This window comes from Homo sapiens, chromosome 10, assembly GCF_000001405.40.
Source record: "Homo sapiens chromosome 10, GRCh38.p14 Primary Assembly".
Taxonomy (NCBI): Eukaryota; Metazoa; Chordata; class Mammalia; order Primates; family Hominidae; genus Homo; species Homo sapiens.
The window spans coordinates 112,191,667-112,214,764 of NC_000010.11; the positions used below are offsets into that span (position 1 = coordinate 112,191,667).

Genomic DNA, 23,098 nt, shown 5'->3' on the forward strand with positions numbered 1-23,098 from the left:
AAAAATGAGAAGCTGCTCAACTGGGGCTGGTATCCAAGAAGACAAATTCTAAATGGGCCTTTGTTTTCTCATGGACTCAAGCTGGATTGTGGGAGGAGAGATTGTCCAAGAAAAGAGTGGAGGCCAGAATGGCTCGGCATTGAGAAGGGACAGGACTCAGGGGTCTGATGGTGGCTCAGCTCTGAGATCCTTCAGATGCAGAACCTTGGAGGTGGCAGGGCTTCAAAAAAGGGTGAAGATGGGGGGACTGTGAAGAATGACAGTCCAGCACCTTAGAAACCGCAGCGAAGGTCCCAGTGGTGGAGTATGTCATGAAAGGAATGGAACTTTGAGTACCACGCAGAGCCCAGGCAAGGTGCAATGAGGAAGGGGACCAGCCTGAGCCGACCCAGGGCCTCTGCTTGGCTTCCGCACAACACAAGCAACAGGGTAAGGGGTAGGAGGGTGGAATGCCCCAAATTATCACTATTGGCCTTCAAGAGAACTTTGACATAAGCTATTTAAAGACAGAGTAATACAGTATTCATTCGTTTATCCATTCATTCATAACACACTGACTGAGAGCCTTTTTTGCAGCAGGCATCCTGCTAAGTGCTGAAGACACAGGGATGAAGAAGGTACACACAGATCCTACCCTTGTGGAATTCATGGTCTAATGGCATATGGTATGTAGGGATGGAGACAGTAGGAAGAAAGATAAACAAACTTAAAATCACAATGAAATTTTTTTAAGTGCAATAAAGAATCCAAACAGCATCTGTCCCAGAGAAGAACAGAGGTGGCCGATATTGGATAAGGTGGTCAGGGAGGACTCCTAAAAGGGGAGAGCAGCTACACTGAGGCCAGGGTGTGAGCAGGGCCTGGCCAAGACAGGAGCCCAGAGCAGACCTCTCCAAGAAGAGGGAAGAGCACAGGCCAAAGCCCAGAGGGAGGGCAGAACTTGGCAGAGAGTGAGAACTGAACCAAGGCCAGTGTGGCTGGAGTGGGTAAGTGGGAAAATGGCAGAGGAAGGAATTGGGAACACAGGCCGACCAGGTCTTTTTAAGCCATAGTAAAAAGTTTGGAAAATTCAAAATAAAATTCTGACATGTGTCATAAATGTCATGGAGGTATGTGAATACCCTTTACCTTGTAAGATTAGAGAAGGGTGAATCAAAATAGAAGCCCATGTCTATGGACTTGGTCAACCAGGAAGAGAAGAAGTGGGCAATGATTCAGGAGCTATGTTGTATGCAGGGGCCTGCCCGCCTGGGTTAAATTGGCCGCAGAGAATCTAGGTAAGGAAGAAAGTAAGTAGGTTTTGTTAGCTACCCTTTATTGAGCAATTTCTATGTGCCAAGCACTATTCTAAGTACTTTAGAGGCATTTTCTCAAATAATCACCTGTGTCAGTCATGGCGCCATCAGAAAAACGAACCCCTTCCAGACAGCTTGCTAGTGAGACTTTAATACAGAAAACTACTTAGAAAGGTCTTGGAAGAGCAGAGAAGACAAAAGTAGAAGGGTGAGGCCCAGAGATCAGCAGCAACACGAGATCACTACCCTCCCTCAGGCTGGAGTGGCAAAGACAGGTGTTGACAGAGCCAAGAGCCATCTCCTCATAGGCTACAACTGGGACCAAGGAGGGGGTCCTGACCAGGAGGAGCCAAAACCATGGAGCCACTGCCACTGGAGGTGCCACGTGAGAAACAGGGAGATACCATGACTTTTATCCTCTCTCTGCCAACTGGGGCTGACCCAAGCTTCAAGGAAGCCTGAGGAATAAGTTTGCAAGGAGGCATTGTCCTAAGATCTAGAGTAGAGCAGGGAAGGATGGGGAATAGATCCAAGGGCAAACAGGCAGATGATGGGCCCGTCCTCTCAATAGCCCCATGGGTTAGAAACTATTATTACTCCCATTTTTCAGATGGGGAAACTGAGGCACCAGGAGAGGTCAGAATCTGTAAAGTGGCAGAAACACACTTTGAATTCAGCGTCTACCTGATACTAAAGCCCAAACATACAAGGGATATATTATTCAGCTAGCCTAGGCAAGAACATGGTAGTTAGAGCTGCGCTAGCAGATCCCAGGTCTGAAAACATTATGATAATTGTTTTTAGGATTTGCTTTGGAACTGGCTCTAGTTTTTTGGTCGTCCTCATCTCAGGGCTAGGCTGCGAAGATCTTATGCTTGAAAAACATACTTCTTGCAGATACTTTTGGGACAAAAGAGGAAATGCTATTCCTTTGAGCTTGGATCCTCACAAAATTTGTCCTAAATTTTTGAAACTCATATGAACCCTTAAAGTTACTTTGTTCTAGGGAGAGTGACTATATCAGTCAGAATGCGCTAGATTATAATACAGTAACAAACGTCTTAGTCTTGAAACAACAGAGTTTGTTTCTTGCCTATGCTACATGTCAACAGCAGGTTATCCTGGGACTCTGCTCATAATGGTCACTGAGGGACCCAGGCTGAGGAAGGTTCCATGTTGATACATGCCTTCGTGTTTGCCAAGGCTGGAAAAGAGAGTGTAGTAAGCTGTACACTGGCTCTTAATCCGCTTTGTTGGGTAAAGAAGTGTAATCCTACCATGTGTCCCGGATAACTAAACATTTGTGAACAGCTCTAATGACAATCGAACCACATTTATGACACTTCTGGTTGGACTGAGATAAACCAAAGGTCGTAATGTAGAATGAAGAGACTTAGGTGCTTCTAACAAGACAGGCTACACTATATAACATTTTAAAAGGTTGTCTTTGCTGTGCTTAAAATTGCATCTCTGCGGACACTATGTCTTTCAGGAAAACCTTTTGTTCCTAAGTATTGCTTAAGAACATTTCCCTAAAAATCACCATTGGTTCTTAAAAGATACTGTCCAAGATGGTTTGTGGAGCTGAGATACTGGCTGGAATGATATGAAAATAAAGCGTCTTGTCTTCTGGAAAAGAGATCCTAAGGTGGACTAGATTTTAACATGGACAAACCCAGACTCATTCCAAGCTTTCTACTGTTGTATAACCTGACGGCAGATTATTGGGTAGGGATGGCTTGCTGAGCAAGTCCCAGCTCTGGGTGTAAAGAGCCAGGCAGTCTCTCCGCTTTCACAACCTTGTGCTCTCCTGCATTTCTTTCTACCCCCCTAGATGTTTTCTCTTGGCATGTTTTGCTGGCTCAAGTCCTTCCTTCATTCTCACTTCATACCATCTCCTCAGCAGGCCAAGAACCTGGAAGTTCTTGACTTTTTCCTGCATCCAATAGAACATTAACTCTTAAACAATTTTACCTTTTAAATAGCTTTAAACCCATCACCCCCTTATCTCCCTCTCCACCTGCACTATCCTAATCCAAAATATCACCATCTTCACTGGGGGGCATAATGACTCACTGCCTGGATGCCCCACATCTACTTCTGCACTGGCTACCCATCCAGACATCCCATACACATCAGCCAGACCGAGCATTTGAAAATGCAGCGTGCCAAATGCACCATGCCAAATACCCCCATACACATCAGCCAGCCTAAACATTTGAAAATGCATCATGCCAAAATGCACCATGCCAAATACCCCCATCGCTCTCCCTTGTCACCATCCCAACTGACTAAAATCCTTCCATATATTCCTTACAGATTTTAGAACAAAAACTAAAGCCTGTAACATGTGTTAAATACCTAGCTCAGTCCGCCCTTGCTAATCTCACCACCCCCCATCTCCGTCCACGTACTCTTTCGCTCTCTGACTCCAGCCACCCTGGCTTTCTTTCACTTCCCCACGAAAGCCAGGCTCTGCCCTTCCCTGGCATTTGCTCTGCCTGCAGTGGTCCCTGCCACATCTCTTCTCTGACTCATACTTCATAACACAGCTCAAGTCTCACCGCCTCATGAAAATTTTTGTGGACCCTTCAGACTAAGGCAGGCCCCTTTCTTAAGTTTCTTCCCCATGGGAATGACCATAATTATAACTAAATACTTAATTGTAGAATTAATCATTTAATATCTGCCCCTCTCTCTCTCTTAAATGGCATTCTTGACTTTTCCCCTACATTCCTAGTACCTGACGGTACCTTGCTAAAGCAGATGCTCAATATCTATTTGTTGAATGTCTAAGTACAAGACATGATTAGCTACTTATGAAAGGACAGGGTGCATGGCTGTTATAACTATCAAGAGTCCTGAACAAGGATAGCCTTAGGAATAGAAACATTCAAGGAGCGATGTGGGAACCACAGAGTTTGGGGGCTTGTGACTTTGTAGCTCTTAGAGCAGGCATGCATCTAAGGTAGACAGCAGAGTTCCCATCTTCTCTCCCTCACCCCACTCCCTGGGTCAGAGTAGAGAAAACATGTGACTACAAGGAAAACTAGGGGCCCTGATCTCCAGTGTAGGGGGTGGTCTACACAGAACAGAATGCCACAATCTAGAACAAGGCCAAGCAGAGCCTGGGAGGAAACACACACATGCCCAATACTCTTGAAAGAAGGAATTTGAAAAGGCTTGAAAGGGAAAAACTAGGCATGGCTAGAGACTTATTTTTATTGTTTCTCCCTCAGAATCAGTCTTTGTCAATAGGAAAGAATTTTCATGAAGAGGAGAAGCTGAACTACTTTGCAATTAGATTATTCTTTTTCTAATGAGTTCAAAGTAAGGTAGAACCTCACTCATTAAGTATAATCGGAAGGAAGATCAATCTAAGTTCAACTAAGGCTAATTTTTAGAATACTTCTAAAGAAATTTAGAATTTTTAGAACACTTCTAAAGAAATTTGACATATAAAAGCTCAAATATTTTCCTTTGGAAAATTTATTCTCTTGGGTGTTCTAAACATACTCTGTGTAACTGTCTTTGGCTTTTAACTTACAGATTTCCCAAAAGAAAAGGCCTCCAAAGTAAAGAGTGTTATGAACCTAGTTTCCAATTATCTGAATTACCTTATATAAAGCAAAACCTAAGTAAGCATAGCAGGATTGGTTATGGTTTTAACCACATCTTTTCTAACTAGCAGTCATCATCATCTTACTCCATACAATATTTGATGTTTATTACAAGGATGATCTCCAAAATGCAAGTGAGATATTAGAGAATAGGCTTTTCATAATCCAGGATCACAAGGTGCAATTTCTTCTTCTAGCCCCATTTTGTTTTACTACTGGTTGGATGGATCACAGAGACCAACACTTCCCTCACCCCATTCCTTTTGCACATCTGATTCTGCTTACAAGGTAACAAAACACCTTCCCCCTTTATCAATCACATCATAGTTATTTTTCCAGAGGCTCTCACTTCTGGGCCTACTTCACCTCCATAAAGCATTGGAACATATGTAAATTAAGCACACATACATAAATTGTAGAATTCCTAGTAACTGCTATAGGTAATCAATGGGTTAAATAAATCAAGATCAATAATGTTGGTTTTTCTCTAGCTTATTTATAAGTGATGTTTTTAGAGAATAGTTCATTTAAATTTCTAGGTCACCTGCTCATTAACTGTTGAATAAATATAATCTAGGTAAAGAATGAATTATATCTAAAGCTCCATCAATTGATCAAATCCTAAATGAATGAAATTTTAACCTCCCAGAGATAAAGTTTCATTGACTTTAAGCTCCACAATGTTGTGGCATGCCTTAGGTAAACAGTCTGAATTTTTTTGATTGTGCTAATAGTTACAAAAATAAAATTGCTTACTTGGTTAGTAAACTTATTTTATAAGCCATAGTGACTCTTAGCCAAATTCTAATTAAGCAAAGCAGTTAACTTGCTCTCCTCTGTATGTGACCTGGTAAGGCATTCTTTTTTTTTTTTTTTTTCAGTAGTGCATATACTGATTTATTTTTTATTTATTTTTTTATTATACTTTAAGTTTTAGGGTACATGTGCACATTGTGCAGGTTAGTTACATATGTATACATGTGCCATGCTGGTGCGCTGCACCCACTAACTCATCATCTAGCATTAGGTATATCTCCCAATGCTATCCCTCCACCCTCCCCCCACCCCACAACAGTCCCCAGAGTGTGATATTCCCCTTCCTGTGTCCATGTGATCTCATTGTTCAATTCCCACCTATGAGTGAGAATATGCGGTGTTTGGTTTTTTGTTCTTGCGATAGTTTACTGAGAATGATGATTTCCAATTTCATCCATGTCCCTACAAAGGACATGAACTCATCCTTTTTTATGGCTGCATAGTATTCCATGGCATTCTTATTCACAAAAACAGAGGTGGCATGTATAGGAATCCTACTATTAATTGGGATGTACTTCAAGATTACAACATGGCTGCCATTTACACATGTCAAAATCATAATTATTGTGAACCATTAATTACAAATCACAAAATTACACTGTCCACAATTGTGAAGGGTCTTGGAATGTTTAAAGTAAACTCAATTTATGGTTTTTATCTCTCTGTGCCTCATTTTCCTTATCCATGAAACAAAGCTAATAATAGTACCTACTTTATAGTACTAAAAGGATTAAGAGTTAAAATATGTAAGGCACTGAGACAACACCTGGCACAGAGTGGGTACTAGGTAATGTTTGCAGTTCCTAGGAAAATGTCCAGTCCCCTCAAAGTCTGAAGGTTCCATTGGATCCAGATATCAGTCCCACTTGCTTTCACAGATCATAGCTGGTAAAAGGTGTATTTCAGAATCACAGCGTTCTCCAGATTCAACTTCAGCATGTTTTTCGTTTCCAGGTATAAACGTGCATAGTTTTCCTTTAACAACTATACTACTGATTGAGTCAGTAAAGTCTTTAAAGCAGTAGTTCCTCACTTTTTGGCATCTGGGAACAGTTCGATTATCTGATGAAACTCCAGGCTCTTTCCCAGAAAAAAAGTACATGTAAAAAATTACATTCCATTTCAGCAGTTTCATAACCTCCCTCCAAGGTCATCCATGGACCCCAGATTAAGAATCAGTGTTTGCAGTACAGCTATTATGGAAAACAGTATGGGGTGGTTCCTCAAAAAATTTAAAATAGAGCTACTATATGATTCAGCAAGCCCACTTCTGGATGCATATCCAAACGAATTGAAATTGCTGTATTAAAGAGAGATTTGTACTCCCATGTTCATTGCAGCATTATTCACAATAGCCAAGATATTAAAGCAACCTATGTGTCCGTTGATGGAAGAGTGGGTAAAGAAAGTATGGTGTATATACACAACGGACTACTCTTCAGCCTTGAAAAAAGAAGAAAATCCTGTCATTTGCAATGACATGGATAAACCTAGAGGACATTATTTTTATTTTGTTGTTGTTGTTTTGTTTTTTTTTTTGTTTTGAGACGGAGTCTTGCTCTGTCGCCAGGCTGGAGTGCAGTGGCACCATCTCGGCTCACTGCATCCTCCGCCTCCTGGGTTCAAGCAATTCTCCTGCCTCAGCCTCCCGAGTAGCTGGGACTACAGACACACGCCGCCACGCCTGGCTAATGTGTGTGTGTGTGTGTGTGTGTGTGTGTGTGTGTGTGTGTATTTTAGTAGAGATGGGGTTTCACCATGTTGCCCAGGCTGGTCTCAAACTCCTGAGCTCAGGCAATCCGCCTGCCTCGGCCTTCCAAAGTGCCAGAATTACAGGCATAAGCCACTGCGCCCAGCCACCTGGAGGGCATTATTATATTAAGTGAAATAAGCCAGGCACAGACAGACAAATATGCATAATCTCACTTATATGTGGGATACAGAAATGTTGAACTCAAAGAAGCAGAGAGTAGAATGGTGGTTATCAGCAGCTGCAGGAGGAGATGGGAAATGAGATGTTGGTCAAAGGGTAGAAAGTTTCCGTTAGGAGGAGTAAGTTCCTGGAGATCTCTTGTACAGCATAGTGACTATAGCTAATAATAATGTATACTTGCAAATTGTTAAGAGAATAGATTTTAAATATTCCCACCACAAAAAATTAAGTATGTGAGGTGGTGAATATGTTAATTAGCTCGATTTAATCATTCCACAATGTACATGTGTTAGTCTGTTCTCACGCTGCTGATAAAGGTAATTTATAAAGGAAAGAGGCTTAATTGATTCACAGTTCCACATGGCTGGGGAGGCCTCACAATCATGATGGAAGGTAAATGAGGAGCAAAGTCACATCTTACGTGGCAGCAGGCAAGAGAGCTTGTGCAGGGGAACTCCCATTTATAAAACTATCAGATCTCATGAGACTTATTCCCTACCATGGGAACAGTATGGGGGAACCGCCCCCCATGATTCAATTATCTCCACCTGGCCCTGCACTTGACACGTGGGGATTATTACAATTCAAGGTGAGATTTGGGTGGGGACACAGCCAAACCATATAAGTATACATATCAAAACATCACATTGTACACCATAAATATATACAATTGTTGTCAACTAAATCAAAAAAGAATCACTGTATGAAAGCATGGCTTGGAAGACAGCCACACTTGGATCTTGTTCTTTTAACAATGTTAAAGCAACTGGAGACAGGAGTACATATTTACACATTGTAAGTGGAGACAGGAACACATATTTACACATTGTAAAGGAAATATATATATATATATATATATATATATATATATATATATATTTCAGTCCACACTATATGTATATATATATATATATAGAGAGAGAGAGAGAGAGAGAGAGAATAGTTTTCCTTCAACAACTATACTGTTGATCGTTTTTGAGACAGAGTCTCACTGTTGCCGAGATTGGAGTGCAGTGGCACAATCTTGGCTCACTGCAACCTTGACTTCCCCATCTCAAGCTATCATCCCACTTCAGCCTCTCGAGTAGCTGGGACCACAGGTGCATGCCACCAGGCTCAGCTAATTTTTGTTTTTATTTTTTGTAGAGACAGTGTCTCACTATGTTGCCCAGGCTGGTCTCGAACTCCTGGGCTCAAGGGATCCTCCTGCCTTGGCCTTCCAAAGTGCTGGGATTACAGGCATGAACAACCATGCCCGGCTTTGTAAGGGAAATATTAATTACTATTAGTGAGCTAAGTACTTCCAATAAAAAGTTTTGCTGATGGTGAAGAAGATGAAGAAGGAGAATGAAGAAGAGAACAAGCAGAGGAAGAGAAGGAGTCATTCAAAATGGATAAAGGTAAGCAAACTGAAGGGATACTTTTACCTCTAAATGAGCCACAAGTATGCAATAGTGTTTTGCTACTGTGGAATACTGTGTAGCTATTATTAGCAACTCTGGAGGCAGTTTGAGCAACTGATTATATCTAAGGCCTTCTTTTAAACCTTAAACAGGTAAAATATTTTTATGGGGCTGTCCACAACTGTTCAATGAATCAGACATAAAAGAAATGCTAATTATGGGAACTGAGCTGTGAATTCTGAGTGACCCTAGAGACAAAATGCTTATCTGGTGGTCTTATGTTGCTGGACATTTATTAGAGTTTTGAGATTACATTAACTGATTTTCACCTTAAGTGCTCTACCTGGAGAAGCAGTAAAAGCTTCTGAAAAGGAATTATTTTAAAGAGGTAGTGACATTGGCCAGAAGATGTGTCTGCTGAATCAGGGGGCAGTGTGAGGAGAAGAACCCAAGTAGGGTGTGATGGGCTTGCCACAGCCAAGAGCTGCCACTTTGATCAGGACTCACGAGGACCCTACTCATTCCTCTGTTCAAGAGTGGCCAATGCCTGAGACCAAAGAGGATGGATGATGATACTTAGAACAAATATCATAGAATAAGGTCAAGGTCCCACTTACACTTCTGCTCTTTCATGGTCTCAGCTTGCATCCCTGCCTCTGAGCCAATTATCTTTTCAGGAACTACAAGCTCTCACATTGTTTTGCCCCTGCCTACCTCTCCTCCCTGGTCCTCTATCACTCTCCCTTGCCTTACTCAACCCTCGTCCCCAAGGTCATCTCTCTGTTCCTGGACCATCCCCAGCTCATCACTGGCTCAGAGACTGTGTGGTTATGGTCCCTTCTCCCAGGACATTCCTTCTGCAGACATTTGCATGGCTGATTCATTATTATTTTTAGACCTTAACTTGGCTAGCAACTTTCTGTCCCTTGCCTTGTCACTTTCTTCTATATCATCCTATTTATTTTATTTATAGCACTTAACCCTCTCTGAAAATAACCTGTTGATTTTTTTTTCTTGACCATTGTCTATCTTCCTCATTAGAATGTGAGCTCCATAAGAGCAGGAACTTTCTACATTTTAGTCACTGCGTAGTCCCCAGGCCTATCATAGAAAAAGCACCAAATATATATTTGTTGGATAAAAGAATGAAAGATCATCAGCATAGCTACCATTTATTGAGCATTTACTCTGTGCCAGGCACAAGGCTGTAGGTTTTTCAATTAACTTGCACAACAGCCCTCCAAGATAGGTATTTATCATTCCCATGGTACAGGTTAGGTTTTGCAGAGAGCTTATGCAACTTTCCCAATGTCACAGCTAGCAAGGAACCAAGACTTGATTTGAACCCAGATGTATCTGACTCCAACACTCATTCTCTAAGTCAAAATCAGCACTTTTTAAAAAATCAATGGCCAGATAGTAAATATTTTAGGCTTTGTGGGCTATATGGTCCTGGTCACAACTACTCAACCCTTTTGTAGCATAAAAGCAGCCTTAGACAGTATATAAGAAAATCGATGTGCTGTGTGCCAATAAAACTTTATTCATCAAACAGATAGTGAGCAGTATTTGGCCCAGGAGCCATAGTTACCAATCTCTCCATTAAGTCATTGTTCTATATATGCTATTCTAGAAAGGGGTTTAAAAATGAGGGGGTGAAGAAAAGAAGAACATTCAAATGTGTACTATGTTCATGGTAAGCCCTCTTTTAATAAGTAAGACAGCAGGTAGATAACTGTTAAGTTTAAAAAGGCAAAATAGGAAATTGAGTTCTAATAGGAATTATGACTCCAAACCTTTTGACTGAATTATAACCATCACTTAAGACTACAGTAGAGTTTAATTCAAATAATCTATGACATTTTAAGCAAGGTTCCATTCGCATTGTAGTTATGCATAATTTTACATGCTGACACCATAAAATACCTACATAAATTTTCATCTCAAGCATGTCCAAAATAGTACCAAGCCACTCTGTTAAAAACCCTTCTTCTTTCAACCATGGAGCCTGGACACCTCAGTCTTTCCTTCTCAAGCAAACTTATGAGTCACTGGCCAGGGGTAAAAGGCAAGATATGAATCACGGGTCTGAGCCAGCCTAGAGAAATCTAAAATCTCATTTGGAAAGGTGAACATTATTTGTGCTCTGTTGTTTAGTAATTCAGAGTGGTTCTTAAGACCGAATATCAGCATTGAAGCAAAATATCAACTCGCCATCCCTTGGGTCTAGGCTGGGAGTCAGGGGCTGAACTTTGAGAAGGTGGGAGAACAATGGACAAAGGAGGTAGTTTCAGTGGTGCTTGACGGTGTGTAAGCAATGGGTTAGTGTGAGCTGGAGTGTAGAGGACAGGCCTCCTCTCAGCGCTGTGGTAGGGGGAGCAGAGGGGAGGGAGAGAGAAGCAGTGAAACACTCAGTCTCCTCTTCCTGTTTCATCTAGCTAAGATGGAAATATAGAAACCCCCTTCTCTGGGGTAGCCCTAGGTATTTAGGAAAGTATTAGACAAAATATTCATTTCTCTCTTATCCTGAAGAAAGAGTCCCTCTAAAAACAAGCCTCCAAAAAAGATTCCCTCTGCAAATAGCACACTGGTCTAACACCTTATTCTCCTTAATTTTTGTGTAATTTTCTAAACATGGGCCATAAATGTTTGAGCAGAAAAGCAGCCCCAGCATGGGAGAACCAGCATCTGAAGGGGACTCTGGAGAGGGGCAATCTGCCCCTGCTCTGCCAACAGCCAGCATTGAGGTCCTAGTTACTAAGGCTTTCCCACTCTGCCCCTTTCTAAGCCTTTTTTCTTGTCAGTAACAGAATGAGTCAACCTCAAATTTTTCACCCACTCAAACTTCTGCTTTTGTTATCTGTTTAACATGTTATATTCATTAGTGTTTAGAGTTACCATTTAAGATGATACACATTACTAACAATAATGGATTTCTAGTGAGCACTTAGTATTTACCAGGACTGTGCCACACGCTCTCCATACACTCTGTTATTTAATTCTCATAACTGTCCAACTCGAGAAAGACCCTTATGATTACAGACTTGTCAGATATGATGCTGCGGTTCAGGAAGAAGAACTAAGTTTCCCAAGGTCACACAGGGAGTAGGTGGCAAAGCTGGGATTTGAGGCAGAGTCTGTTTTTTAAAGAACTACTCTGTCTTCATGTTCCTTGGAGCCCCTAGTCAGTGTCTCACTGAGAGGAGGGTACAGCTTCAAACTCCCTCACCCTGAATTCCTTCTCACTGTGACATGAGGCCTCTCTCTATGCCAGGCTACCAAACACCAAGGTGTATTCCGTGGAGGAGATGGCACAGCAGCTGCTGTCAATATCCAAAGCATGGTGTCTTGAGACACTAAGAACCCGTGCCTAATCAGTGCCTCCAGGAGGAGCATGCTGCTAATGCACATGGTAGAAGGTCCCTTGTCCTCAATTCCTATTGCCATTGTCCTGCTCAAGCACACAGATAGAACAATGCTGTCTGCAAATCTCTGGTTATTACAGAATTTTTTCTTTGTTCTTTTTTTTTTTTTTTTTTGATAGGAAGAGACAACCCTTTCAAGGATGGCCCAACTTCAACCGTCTGGTGACACAAGAGATCTGGGGGCTCTTCTTGAAATAGACAGTTGGGGATTTTAAGATGATATATCAGCACTGGCTTGAGTGGGAAGAGGGTTGGGAGTGGGTAGGGGAAGAAGAGTAGGTTGTAAAGATAGAGCAACACTGGCAAAGCTAATGATTTTCACAGATCTGACTCCCTCGGTGGTTGGGGAGAGAAGTTTATTTATTGCATGTCTACTATGATCTGTTGTTTTCCTATAAACTGGGCATTAGGTTCTGACAACAGTGTGAAAATCTGATGTTTTACAGATGAGGAAATGAAGCTCACATGGCTAGTAAGAATCAAAACAGGCTGTGGGCTGTTTATAGGAAAACAACAGATCATAGTAGACATGCAATAAATAAACTTCTCTCATACTGAATGGGCAAAAACTGGAAGCATTCCCTTTGAAAACTGGCACAAGACAGGGATGCCCTCTCTCACCGCTCCTATTCAACATAGTGTTGGAAGTTCTGGCCAGGGCAATCAGGCAGGAGAAGGAAATAAAGGGTATTCAATTAGGAAAAGAGGAAGTCAAATTGTCCCTGTTTGCAGACGACATGATTGTTTATCTAGAAAACCCCATCGTCTCAGCCCAAAATCTCCTTAAGCTGATAAGCAACTTCAGCAAAGTCTCAGGATACAAAATCAATGTACAAAAATCACAAGCATTCTTATACACCAACAACAGACAAACAGAGAGCCAAATCATGAGTGAACTCCCATTCACAATTGCTTCAAAGAGAATAAAATACCTAGGAATCCAACTTACAAGGGATGTGAAGGACCTCTTCAAGGAGAACTACAAACCACTGCTCAAGGAAATAAAAGAGGACACAAACAAATGGAAGAACATTCCATGCTCATGGGTAGGAAGAATCAATATCGTGAAAATGGCCATACTGCCCAAGGTAATTTACAGATTCAATGCCATCCCCATCAAGCTACCAATGACTTTCTTCACAGAATTGGAAAAAACTACTTTAAAGTTCATATGGAACCAAAAAAGAGCCCGCATCGCCAAGTCAATCCTAAGCCAAAAGAACAAAGCTGGAGGCATCACACTACCTGACTTCAAACTATACTACAAGGCTACAGTAACCAAAACAGCATGGTACTGGTACCAAAACAGAGATATAGATCAATGGAACAGAACAGAGCCCTCAGAAATAATGCCGCATATCTACAACTATCTGATCTTTGACAAACCTGAGAAAAACAAGCAATGGGGAAAGGATTCCCTATTTAATAAATGTTGCTGGGAAAACTGGCTAGCCATATGTAGAAAGCTGAAACTGGATCCCTTCCTTACACCTTATACAAAAATCAATTCAAGATGGATTAAAGATTTAAACGTTAGACCTAAAACCATAAAAACCCTAGAAGAAAACCTAGGCATTACCATTCAGGACATAGGCGTGGGCAAGGACTTCATGTCCAAAACACCAAAAGCAATGGCAACAAAAGCCAAAATTGACAAATGGGATCTAATTAAACTAAAGAGCTTCTGCACAGCAAAAGAAACTACCATCAGAGTGAACAGGCAACCTACAACATGGGAGAAAATTTTTGCAACCTACTCATCTGACAAAGGGCTAATATCCAGAATCTACAATGAACTCAAACAAATTTACAAGAAAAAAACAAACAACCCCATCAAAAAGTGGGCGAAGGACATGAACAGACACTTCTCAAAAGAAGACATTTATGCAGCCAAAAAACACATGAAAAAATGCTCATCATCACTGGCCATCAGAGAAATGCAAATCAAAACCACTATGAGATATCATCTCACACCAGTTAGAATGGCAATCATTAAAAAGTCAGGAAACAACAGGTGCTGGAGAGGATGTGGAGAAATAGGAACACTTTTACACTGTTGGTGGGACTGTAAACTAGTTCAACCATTGTGGAAGTCAGTGTGACGATTCCTCAGGGATCTAGAACTAGAAATACCATTTGACCCAGCCATCCCATTACTGGGTATATACCCAAATGACTATAAATCATGCTGCTATAAAGACACATGCACACGTATGTTTATTGCGGCATTATTCACAATAGCAAAGACTTGGAACCAACCCAAATGTCCAACAATGATAGACTGGATTAAGAAAATGTGGCACATATACACCATGGAATACTATGCAGCCATAAAAAATGATAAGTTCATGTCCTTTGTAGGGACATGGATGAAATTGGAAACCATCATTCTCAGTAAACTATCGCAAGAACAAAAAACCAAACACCGCATATTCTCACTCATAGGTGGGAATTGAACAATGAGATCACATGGACACAGGAAGGGGAATATCACACTCTGGGGACTGTGGTGGGGTCGGGGGAGGGGGGAGGGATAGCATTGGGAGATATACCTAATGATAGATGACACGTTAGTGTGTGCAGTGCACCAGCATGGCACATGTATACATATGTAACTAACCTGCACAATGTACACATGTACCCTAAAACTTAAAGTATAATAAAAAAAAAAATTTAAAAAAAAAAAAAAAGAATCAAAACAGGGATTCTATCTTCTTCACTCTACCTCCATGCCTGTGCAAATAATTCAGCTTATCCAGCTCTCATTCAGATTTCCATGAAGTAGATGCCCCTTTCTCAACAGAATATCTATTCAAGCTACAAAGCCTAATACAGTGCCTAGCACAGAGTAGAAGCTCAATAAAACAGGATGCATTAACAACTCTTAATGTGGTTTCTCAAACTCAGGTAGAAATCATCTGATCCAGTAGTTCTCAACCAGAGGTGATTTTGCTCCACAGGGGATATTTGTAAATGTCTGGAGATATATTTAGTTGTCACAAATGAAGGGAGAGGTACCACTGGCATCTAGTGCTTAGAGACAGGACACTGCTAAACTTCCTATGATGTACGGGACAGTCCCCACACGAAAAGACTTATCTGATATATAGCACCTATAGGGCCAAGGTTGACCCATTCTGATCCAACCTAACACATTCTACAGATAAGGACACCCAAACCCAGGGAGATAAAGAGACTTGCATAGGTCCACACAGCTGGCAGAGCCTTGATGAGAAACACTGCTTGAAATCTTCTACAATGTTCTTGCCCCTGCATAAGCAGCCAGCACAGGTTCCGAAGGAACACAGTGTCCCCTTAGAGGCCCTGCTGCCCACCAGCTTCATGCTCCCTAAACTTCCTTTTCTTAGGGAAGTAAACCAAACACAATGATCAAGCCAAATGAATTTATTTTAATAATGAAATAGGCAAGCTAAAATAATAATTAAGTAGACATATTAGGTCATGGTAGAAACTGCCAGAAACATTCTCTCTAAAATGTATATTGTTCGCATTATCATTGTCACCAACAACCATGTTTGGCCTTCTATGTGCCAGGAGATGTGCTGGGTCTCAAGCAAGAGACAGGCAGAGGGAGAAGGTGTCCACCAATATCACGCTCAAGATATATCTTTGACCTCAAGAAGCACTCAACCCAAGCATGAGAGTCTCTTTTGCAGTTGCTGTCACAGAGAGAAGGCAACATTGCAAACATGGGTAAAGCAAAATGCTCCTTACAGCTAAATATGTAAGCATTGAGGTCCTAGCATGACCTGCTTATTTTAAACAATGTTTAACACAGGAACATTCAACTACAGCCCAAGAACTTGGACTTTGCCACTTATATTCTTGGGATTCGGCTTGCCTGGTGGACATTTTGTTGTATCTGTCAAGCTTGTGAGGGACTTCCAGTGCCCTGGACCATGTCTCAAGTGTCAGGATAACCACATGCATCAGGGGACTTCATTTAATCACAGCAGAGCCAATGATCCCAAGATGCCCCAACAGAAGCACGTGGATAGAGAACCCCCAAGATTCGGCTACCATAAATCAACGTACTGGCATCTTTTGCAGCAGTCTCTAAGCTGCATCTAAGTGGAAGCTGGTGACCTGAATTAACACCACTCTGAAGATCAACTTTTATCCTGAAATATCAATGAAAAATTAAACATCCTGATAACCCTGAGTACTAATGGCTTTTATTTCCATTGCAACTGCTTTCTGAGACGGATAGTTTCCCCTTTAGATTTTCATGACTCTGGCCCAGAAAGTGGATACTTGAGGCATTAAACATACAGGAGCCTGAGACGCCAAGAAAACAGTAGTTTCTATTTAAGGATTTGGCTGCAATAGCCAGCTAAGTGTCTTGGGGAAGTGAATGGAATTTGAATAGATCAACTCTGCCACTCTGCTACAGGCTGGGAAATCAAAAACTAAGAAGGATATCCCAAGGGCTCCTGCATGGGTTTAGGCATGAATGTTAGCCTCGGTGACAAGCAGCTTTTTGAACAATGCTTCTCGGACTCTGAGCTATTACAGTGCAGTAAACCAAGGGATACTAATTTTTTAATTCTGCCCAGTCATAATGTTAAAATTAAATTAAACATAAATTGCCAATCAACTAACCCCATCATTTGATAAAAGAAGTAATGCTTTAAAATCCCAACAAGCAGGAAGGATAGACTCTCAAAACGAAGGGAAGTTCCTCAAATTGAATACATTCACCCTAGACTGGAAAAAACATCATAAGCCAACAGCTATCTGCTGTCTGGAATGTGGGTGCCATGAATGCTAAACAACCACTGGCGTTGGCTGGAGAAGGATCAGATTTGAGACCCAGCTGGAATGGAGATGGTGTTCAGGGCAAGGACAGGGATTGGGGATGGGGACAGTTGAGAAGAAACACATTGCACTGTGAATACACTGCACTGCTCTATGGTCCGGTCACATTTTCCACTCTGTAATGCTGCACTAAATTGCCTGTTGAATTACCAGTCTCTTCCATTGGGCTGTGAGTTCCTTGAGAGCAGTGACTATGCCTTGTTGCCCTGATTCATGGAGCTAATTAGACATGGGGCAGGAATGATGGTGTAGTCAGGCACGGAAGGAGTGATGGCGAAGCCCCAGGGATACACAGTGCTGCTTCACGGATCCATGCAATCGGATGATTAGAGAGCACATTTTCTAGTATCTAGTAGTGCGTGTTGTTCTGTCTGGGTAGTGGAAGGGGCCCCACCCCTACCTTACCCAGCGGGCTCAGCCTGAGCATCAGCCCACAGGATAATTAAAATGTGCTCCAAGGGGAGCCTGATGGGAGTCAGAATTGCTGCTGCCCCATCCCTGGGGGACCACTGAGCAAAAGTTCAGCTCCTCTCCCACATTGCCTGCAGATGTCCAAGTGGGAACAGAGCTGATTGTGGGGAGAAGCCAGCCTCCTGCCTGCTGCTGCTTCATGGTCCCCCTGGTTTTCCCATAGCCAAGTCCTAGCAGAGCTCTCAGTACCAAGGTTTATCAATTTTCCCAGGCCCCTGTTCCTCACAGTCACTTTTTGGAATTGACTCAAAAAAAGAATGACACTGTTACTAGCAGCCTTCAGGGTTCATTTCTATGGCAACCATCCCTTTCCTGCAGAATGTCCAGCCCACAGGGAAATGAATGTCACTTTCTTTCAAGACTCATTTTGGGTGTTTTTATGGCCAATCTGATTTCTGGCAGGATGCTGAAGCCCATAACACAGCTACACTTCCCGCCAGCCCCACAGGGCATGGGTAGAGTTTGCATGCAAAGCTCACTAAGCAAGTGCACCCAGGCAAGGCGGACAGGGTAGGGAAAGGGCTCCTGTCTGCCTGTGCCTGGAGAGCCCAGGAGCCGTGATGCAATGATTTAATTAGCACTGACTCAGCCTGACACGCAGGGTCCCTGTTTTACGTCTGACGTGCTGTGGCAGTTGGAGAACCCAGTACCACGTGGTGGGAATAGCAAGGCTGAAGTTCTGGGAACTGAAGGATGAGAGTGAATATTTCATTGCACATATACTATCATTTTCCTCTTACGAGCTGTTGGGGGTAATTGCCTTGGAGTACAACTTCCTATTCAACCTCTCTTTGGAAATGTTCTTGATCTAGAGTTTTGTTGCATAGCATCTCTGTCCCTTTCTTAACATTCAACTCTCTATGACTCCACCATCAAACAGGGAGTTTTCAAATCTTGAATTCATGTGGAGAAGAGTTGTGTGCCCTGAAGTCTCATGCCTACCTCAGTTTCCCCACCATTATTGCTCTCTTCAGGCATCGTCGGCTAAAACACCAATGCCCTGGGAGGTCTCACTAAGCCCCATGACCAGCAAACAATGGGGGATATTGGATAACAGACAGCTGAAGGCAAGAGTGAGACCCCAGTTAGGGAAGAAGAGATGGAGAAAGAATGCATATGCTTCTGGAGGTCAAGGGGACAGCCCCCCTCAACCCCACCCAGGAAAGGTGGGAGAGAATTGAAGATGCTGATATCTCCATTCTTTCAGGGGCCTGAGGCTAACTAAGCATTTCCTTTCATCGCCCTCTGCAAACTTAGCCTCCCCACCACCTCCAGAGTTTCTGCTCTGTCTGGAAAAAATGCTAACCAGCCATTTGTAAGAGATGTCACTAATAAGAGCTCACAATAGACACTGTGTGCTGTGCAGAGGGAACATCATGAGCCTGGGGGAGGTCAAGTGGAAAGCATTGGGAGCACTCATGGGCAGCCAAGGAACAGACCTAGGCCTATTCTCAAATCTTCAGCTCCCTGCTGCCCTCGCAGCGTTCCTGTTCTCAGAATCTCACCATCCAAAGAATCCCACCCCAGGTGGGTTAACTGCCCAGGCAGGACGTGCAGGTGCTTGGAGAGGAAGGACACAGAGAACTGGGTCTACAGGAAGGATGTAGTTCCTGGAAAGGGGCTTAGGGAGTTTTTCCCATAGGAGTGACCCCAGGGGAGTGAATACTGGGATCCAGCTGGGGGAAGTAGGAGGGAGGTGCTGAGAGAATGGGGATTCTAGAAGACAAAACTGGTCACTTCTTCCTCCTGCCGTCCTTGAGTTTGGGCCTAGCTTCTCTCCACCAGCAGAAGCACCTGGGGAAGAAGAGCCCAGGATAGGGAGTCAGAGGCCCTCGTTTCACCTGGATCTAACCTGCCATCAAATAACAAAATGCTAGAGGTGGCCAACTCAGTCTTAGGAATCATTCAGTCCAACTCTCTCATTTTATTCTCACAGACTCTGAGCCCCAGAGAGGTGCAGGTCCATGGCCAGGGCGGCAAGTATTGAGAACTTCCTGCATTCTGGTCGAGGCGGGCTATTAAGGATTCAAATCCTATTGGTTCATCAGTGGGTCTCCCACCCCATCGAAACTAGGTCCTCTGTTCTTTTTCTCATCACATATGGGACTGAGCTATTTGTTTGTGTGATTTTTTAAATGTCGGTCATCCCCATTCAACTGCAAGTTCCACAAGGGCACGCAGCTTTCTCAGCCTCATTCTCTATTCTACCCGCTGTGTGCCTCACACACAGTAAGCACACAACCCATATTTACAGAACACAGAATCTGTACTCTCAAAGTAACCTCATGAGAAAGTATTACACCCATTTTACAAAGGAGGAAACTAGAGCTTGAACAATTTAAATAACAAGTGAAAAAAGCAAGATTCAGCTCTGGATTCTAATGACCTTTTTCCTTAGGCTGTCTGCTTTTCTAACAAAAGATTAACAGATGTATGAGGGTTTCTTAAGCTGGGGACCTTGGTTTAGACTTTTTCAAACATGATGTTCTAGAACCAGATGCTCCAAGACCATTCCCTGAGAGAAGAGAAGAGGAAGGGCCACTTGGAGACTAAGGGCGGCCCAAAGCAGGTGTCCCCAGGCAGGTGCCCCGTCTTGCCTAATCAGGCATAAGTGTGGAGCCCACAATTGTCAGTGGTCAGAAAAGATGTTAGGTCAGGGGTCCAGTCAAGGAAGAGGGGGCTGAGGACCACTAAGCAGGGAGAAAACCCCAACTCAGTAACTGGGGAGGCAGACAGACAGGAATATCTGTCTGACAGGAATATTATTAGGTTGGTGCAAAAGTAATTCCGGTTTTCGCTGTTACTTTTTTTTTACACGGAGTCTCGCTCTGTCGCCCAGGCTGGAGTGCAGTGGTGCGATCTCAGCTCACTGCAAGCTCTGCCTCCTGGGTTCACACCATTCTCCTGCCTCAGCCTCCCGAGTAGCTGGGACTACAGGCACCCACAACCTTGCCTGGCTAATTTTTTTGTATTTTCAGTAGAGACGGGATTTCACCATGTTAGCCAGGATTGTCTCGATCTCCTGACCTCATGATCCGCCCGCATCGACCTCCCAAAGTGCGGGGATTACAGGCATGAGCCACCGTGCCCGGCCTCGCTGTTACTTTTAATAACAGAAACCAGTCATCAGGATGCAGTGAACCCAAAGCTTAGGGTCTCGAGAAAGCCCCTGGTTGATGAAAAGGGCAAAGGCTTGGAGGCTAGACCAGCCTGCCATTGAGTCTCAGCTCTAGCACTTACCAGCTTGGGCATATTCCTTATGCTCTCTTAGCCTTGGTTTGTTCATCTGAAACACAGGGTGGTGGTAATCCCTCTACCTCATAAGGAGGAAATATGAGATCAGCCAGGGCAAAGCACTCAGCACAGTGCCTGAGATACAGTCAGCTTCTGGACAATGGTAGCTTCATTAAGCACTTACTTCAAGGCTGGAAAAACGATTTGGAGCTCCTCTTCATGTTTAGGCGAAAGCCTGTAAGTGCTTAACCCTGGCTACCAAGGCAGGTGAGAGGGACGGGAAAGCTGATCTTGACAGGGAGAACAGAGCAGATCTCAGAACTGAAAGCATCTCAGCTCAGGGTCTGTGCTTGCTAATCACTGTATTCTCAAAGCCTTGCTCACAGCTTGGGACATGGTCAGTGCTCAATAGGCCCAGCTGAATGAATGGGTCCAACCGAGCATGTGAAACAGTTACAATGTTTTTACCATCAGCCTGCTATCATTCATTCATTTCTCACTGGCTCTTTCAGCCCTAGAGTGGTCATGATGACATAGATGTAAAGAAAAAAAAGCATGGGCTCTGAAGTCTGCCATTTACTGTGTTAACTTGGGCAGTTTCCTTAACTTATAGTTTGCTCATTCATTAAATGGGTTGACACTCACCTCAGTGACCTCAGTGGCTCATTGTGGGGACTGAGTTAATAAGATAAAGCCCTTAGAAGAGTGTTGGGTATATAGAAAACACTCCATCAATGTTAGCCATTATCACAAGAAAGAGCCTACCGGGTGTCACAGATTCCTAGGCTCTGGGGTCCTGGCTGAGAGTTATAAAGGCATGAACCCTGCCTTCACAGCTGTCAGTCTGGTGGGGGCAATGGATCAGGAAACAAGCAATCATAAGACAATATGGTTAGTGGTCCAATAAGGGGAAGTTCAGGGGACCCTAACCTCATAGCAGAAGAAGTAGATTTACTCAGAAAGAGACCTGACTAATCTCCTGACTTGGTCAGACCCAGAGGCAGGGTAGGGTGAAGAATGCTTTAAGCAGACAAGATAACATGTGATAAGGTTCGACCATGGTGGGTCCAGAAAACTGAAAGAGTGTTTCTGTGGTGAGACAGAGGTAGAGAAGGATGAGAAAAGAGGCCCAAGAGGCACACAGGATCCAGACTATGCTGGCAATGGCAAAGGGAGAAAATGTTCCAAAAGAGCAGAGAAGAATCACATCCAAGAGGTATAACCCCTTGCACTGGGCTTGTCCTCCACCTCTTGGCAGTTTCCATAAATTTATGAAGAGGAGCGTGAGTCATTATGACAAACTTCTAGGCCCTCATACTCTGGATAATCTCAGGAAATCCCACGGGACCCCTGCAGTGAAAGCTCCCTGAGGACCACAGCAGTCAGCACAGGAAGCATCTCCACCATCCTGTGGGGGGATCCACAGACTCATCCCACTGTGGCTAACAAAGCAGGGACGATCTGGATACCAACACTGGGAATTAAGACAACACGGACAGAAGTACTTGGGAATAAAGACAGACACAAAGAGTGGAGAGAGGAAATGCGGTTGGCATGGTTATTTCTTAACCTGAAATGCATATAGGGAAAAATCAGTGTTAAGAATACTGACATACCGTAAAAACATTCTTTTCCACTCAATACTAAAACAAAAGTATTGATTTCCTTGGTTTTGCATCGTATCTTCCCCTCTGCTGCCATCTCCAGCCAAACCTAACAGAGAGAATGAAGTCTGTCTTTTCTGCTGTCTTTGATCTTCATTCCAGATGGTTAAATCCTGCTGGCCCCATATGGAGCCCAGCTTTCCTCTACAGTGAGAAAGTCCTTTGACATAAAGCTATCTGCCCGATCCAAGCTCAGAAAACAACCCTGAGTAGGGAATACAGTGGGGATAAGAATGAATATCACCCGTTAAACACAGATCTTAAAGTGGGAATCAAACTTTCATAAAAGACATTCTCAGCTCCTCCTCTTTCCTCTGTAGCCAACATCACGAGGATTGGTACCAGGATTTGTACTACTAAGCAGAGCCTTTGAAGGCCATGTGCCGTTTGCAAATCAG

The 23,098-nt window shown here is 43.1% G+C and overlaps 1 protein-coding gene across 3 annotated transcripts in view, besides 1 other annotated feature; it reads right to left on the minus strand.

Moving 5' to 3' along the window:
• GPAM (glycerol-3-phosphate acyltransferase, mitochondrial) overlaps positions 1 to 23,098 on the minus strand; it is a 77,813-nt gene that overhangs the window by 41,802 nt on the left and 12,913 nt on the right. The window contains exon 2 of one of the 3 annotated variants that reach the window (XM_024448089.2): positions 22,653 to 22,749. The exons of the other annotated variants lie outside the window; for them this stretch is intronic. The gene's annotated coding sequence lies outside the window, so the exon portion shown is untranslated. The remainder of the gene's footprint in view (positions 1 to 22,652; positions 22,750 to 23,098) is intronic. 3 annotated transcript variants of the gene reach the window in all.
• Positions 10,968 to 11,017: an enhancer, noted in NCBI's record as "active region_4062". NCBI's record gives its function as "activates an Ori minimal core promoter by ATAC-STARR-seq in GM12878 lymphoblastoid cells {active_cell/tissue: GM12878}" and the evidence as "EXISTENCE:reporter gene assay evidence [ECO:0000049][PMID:35858748]".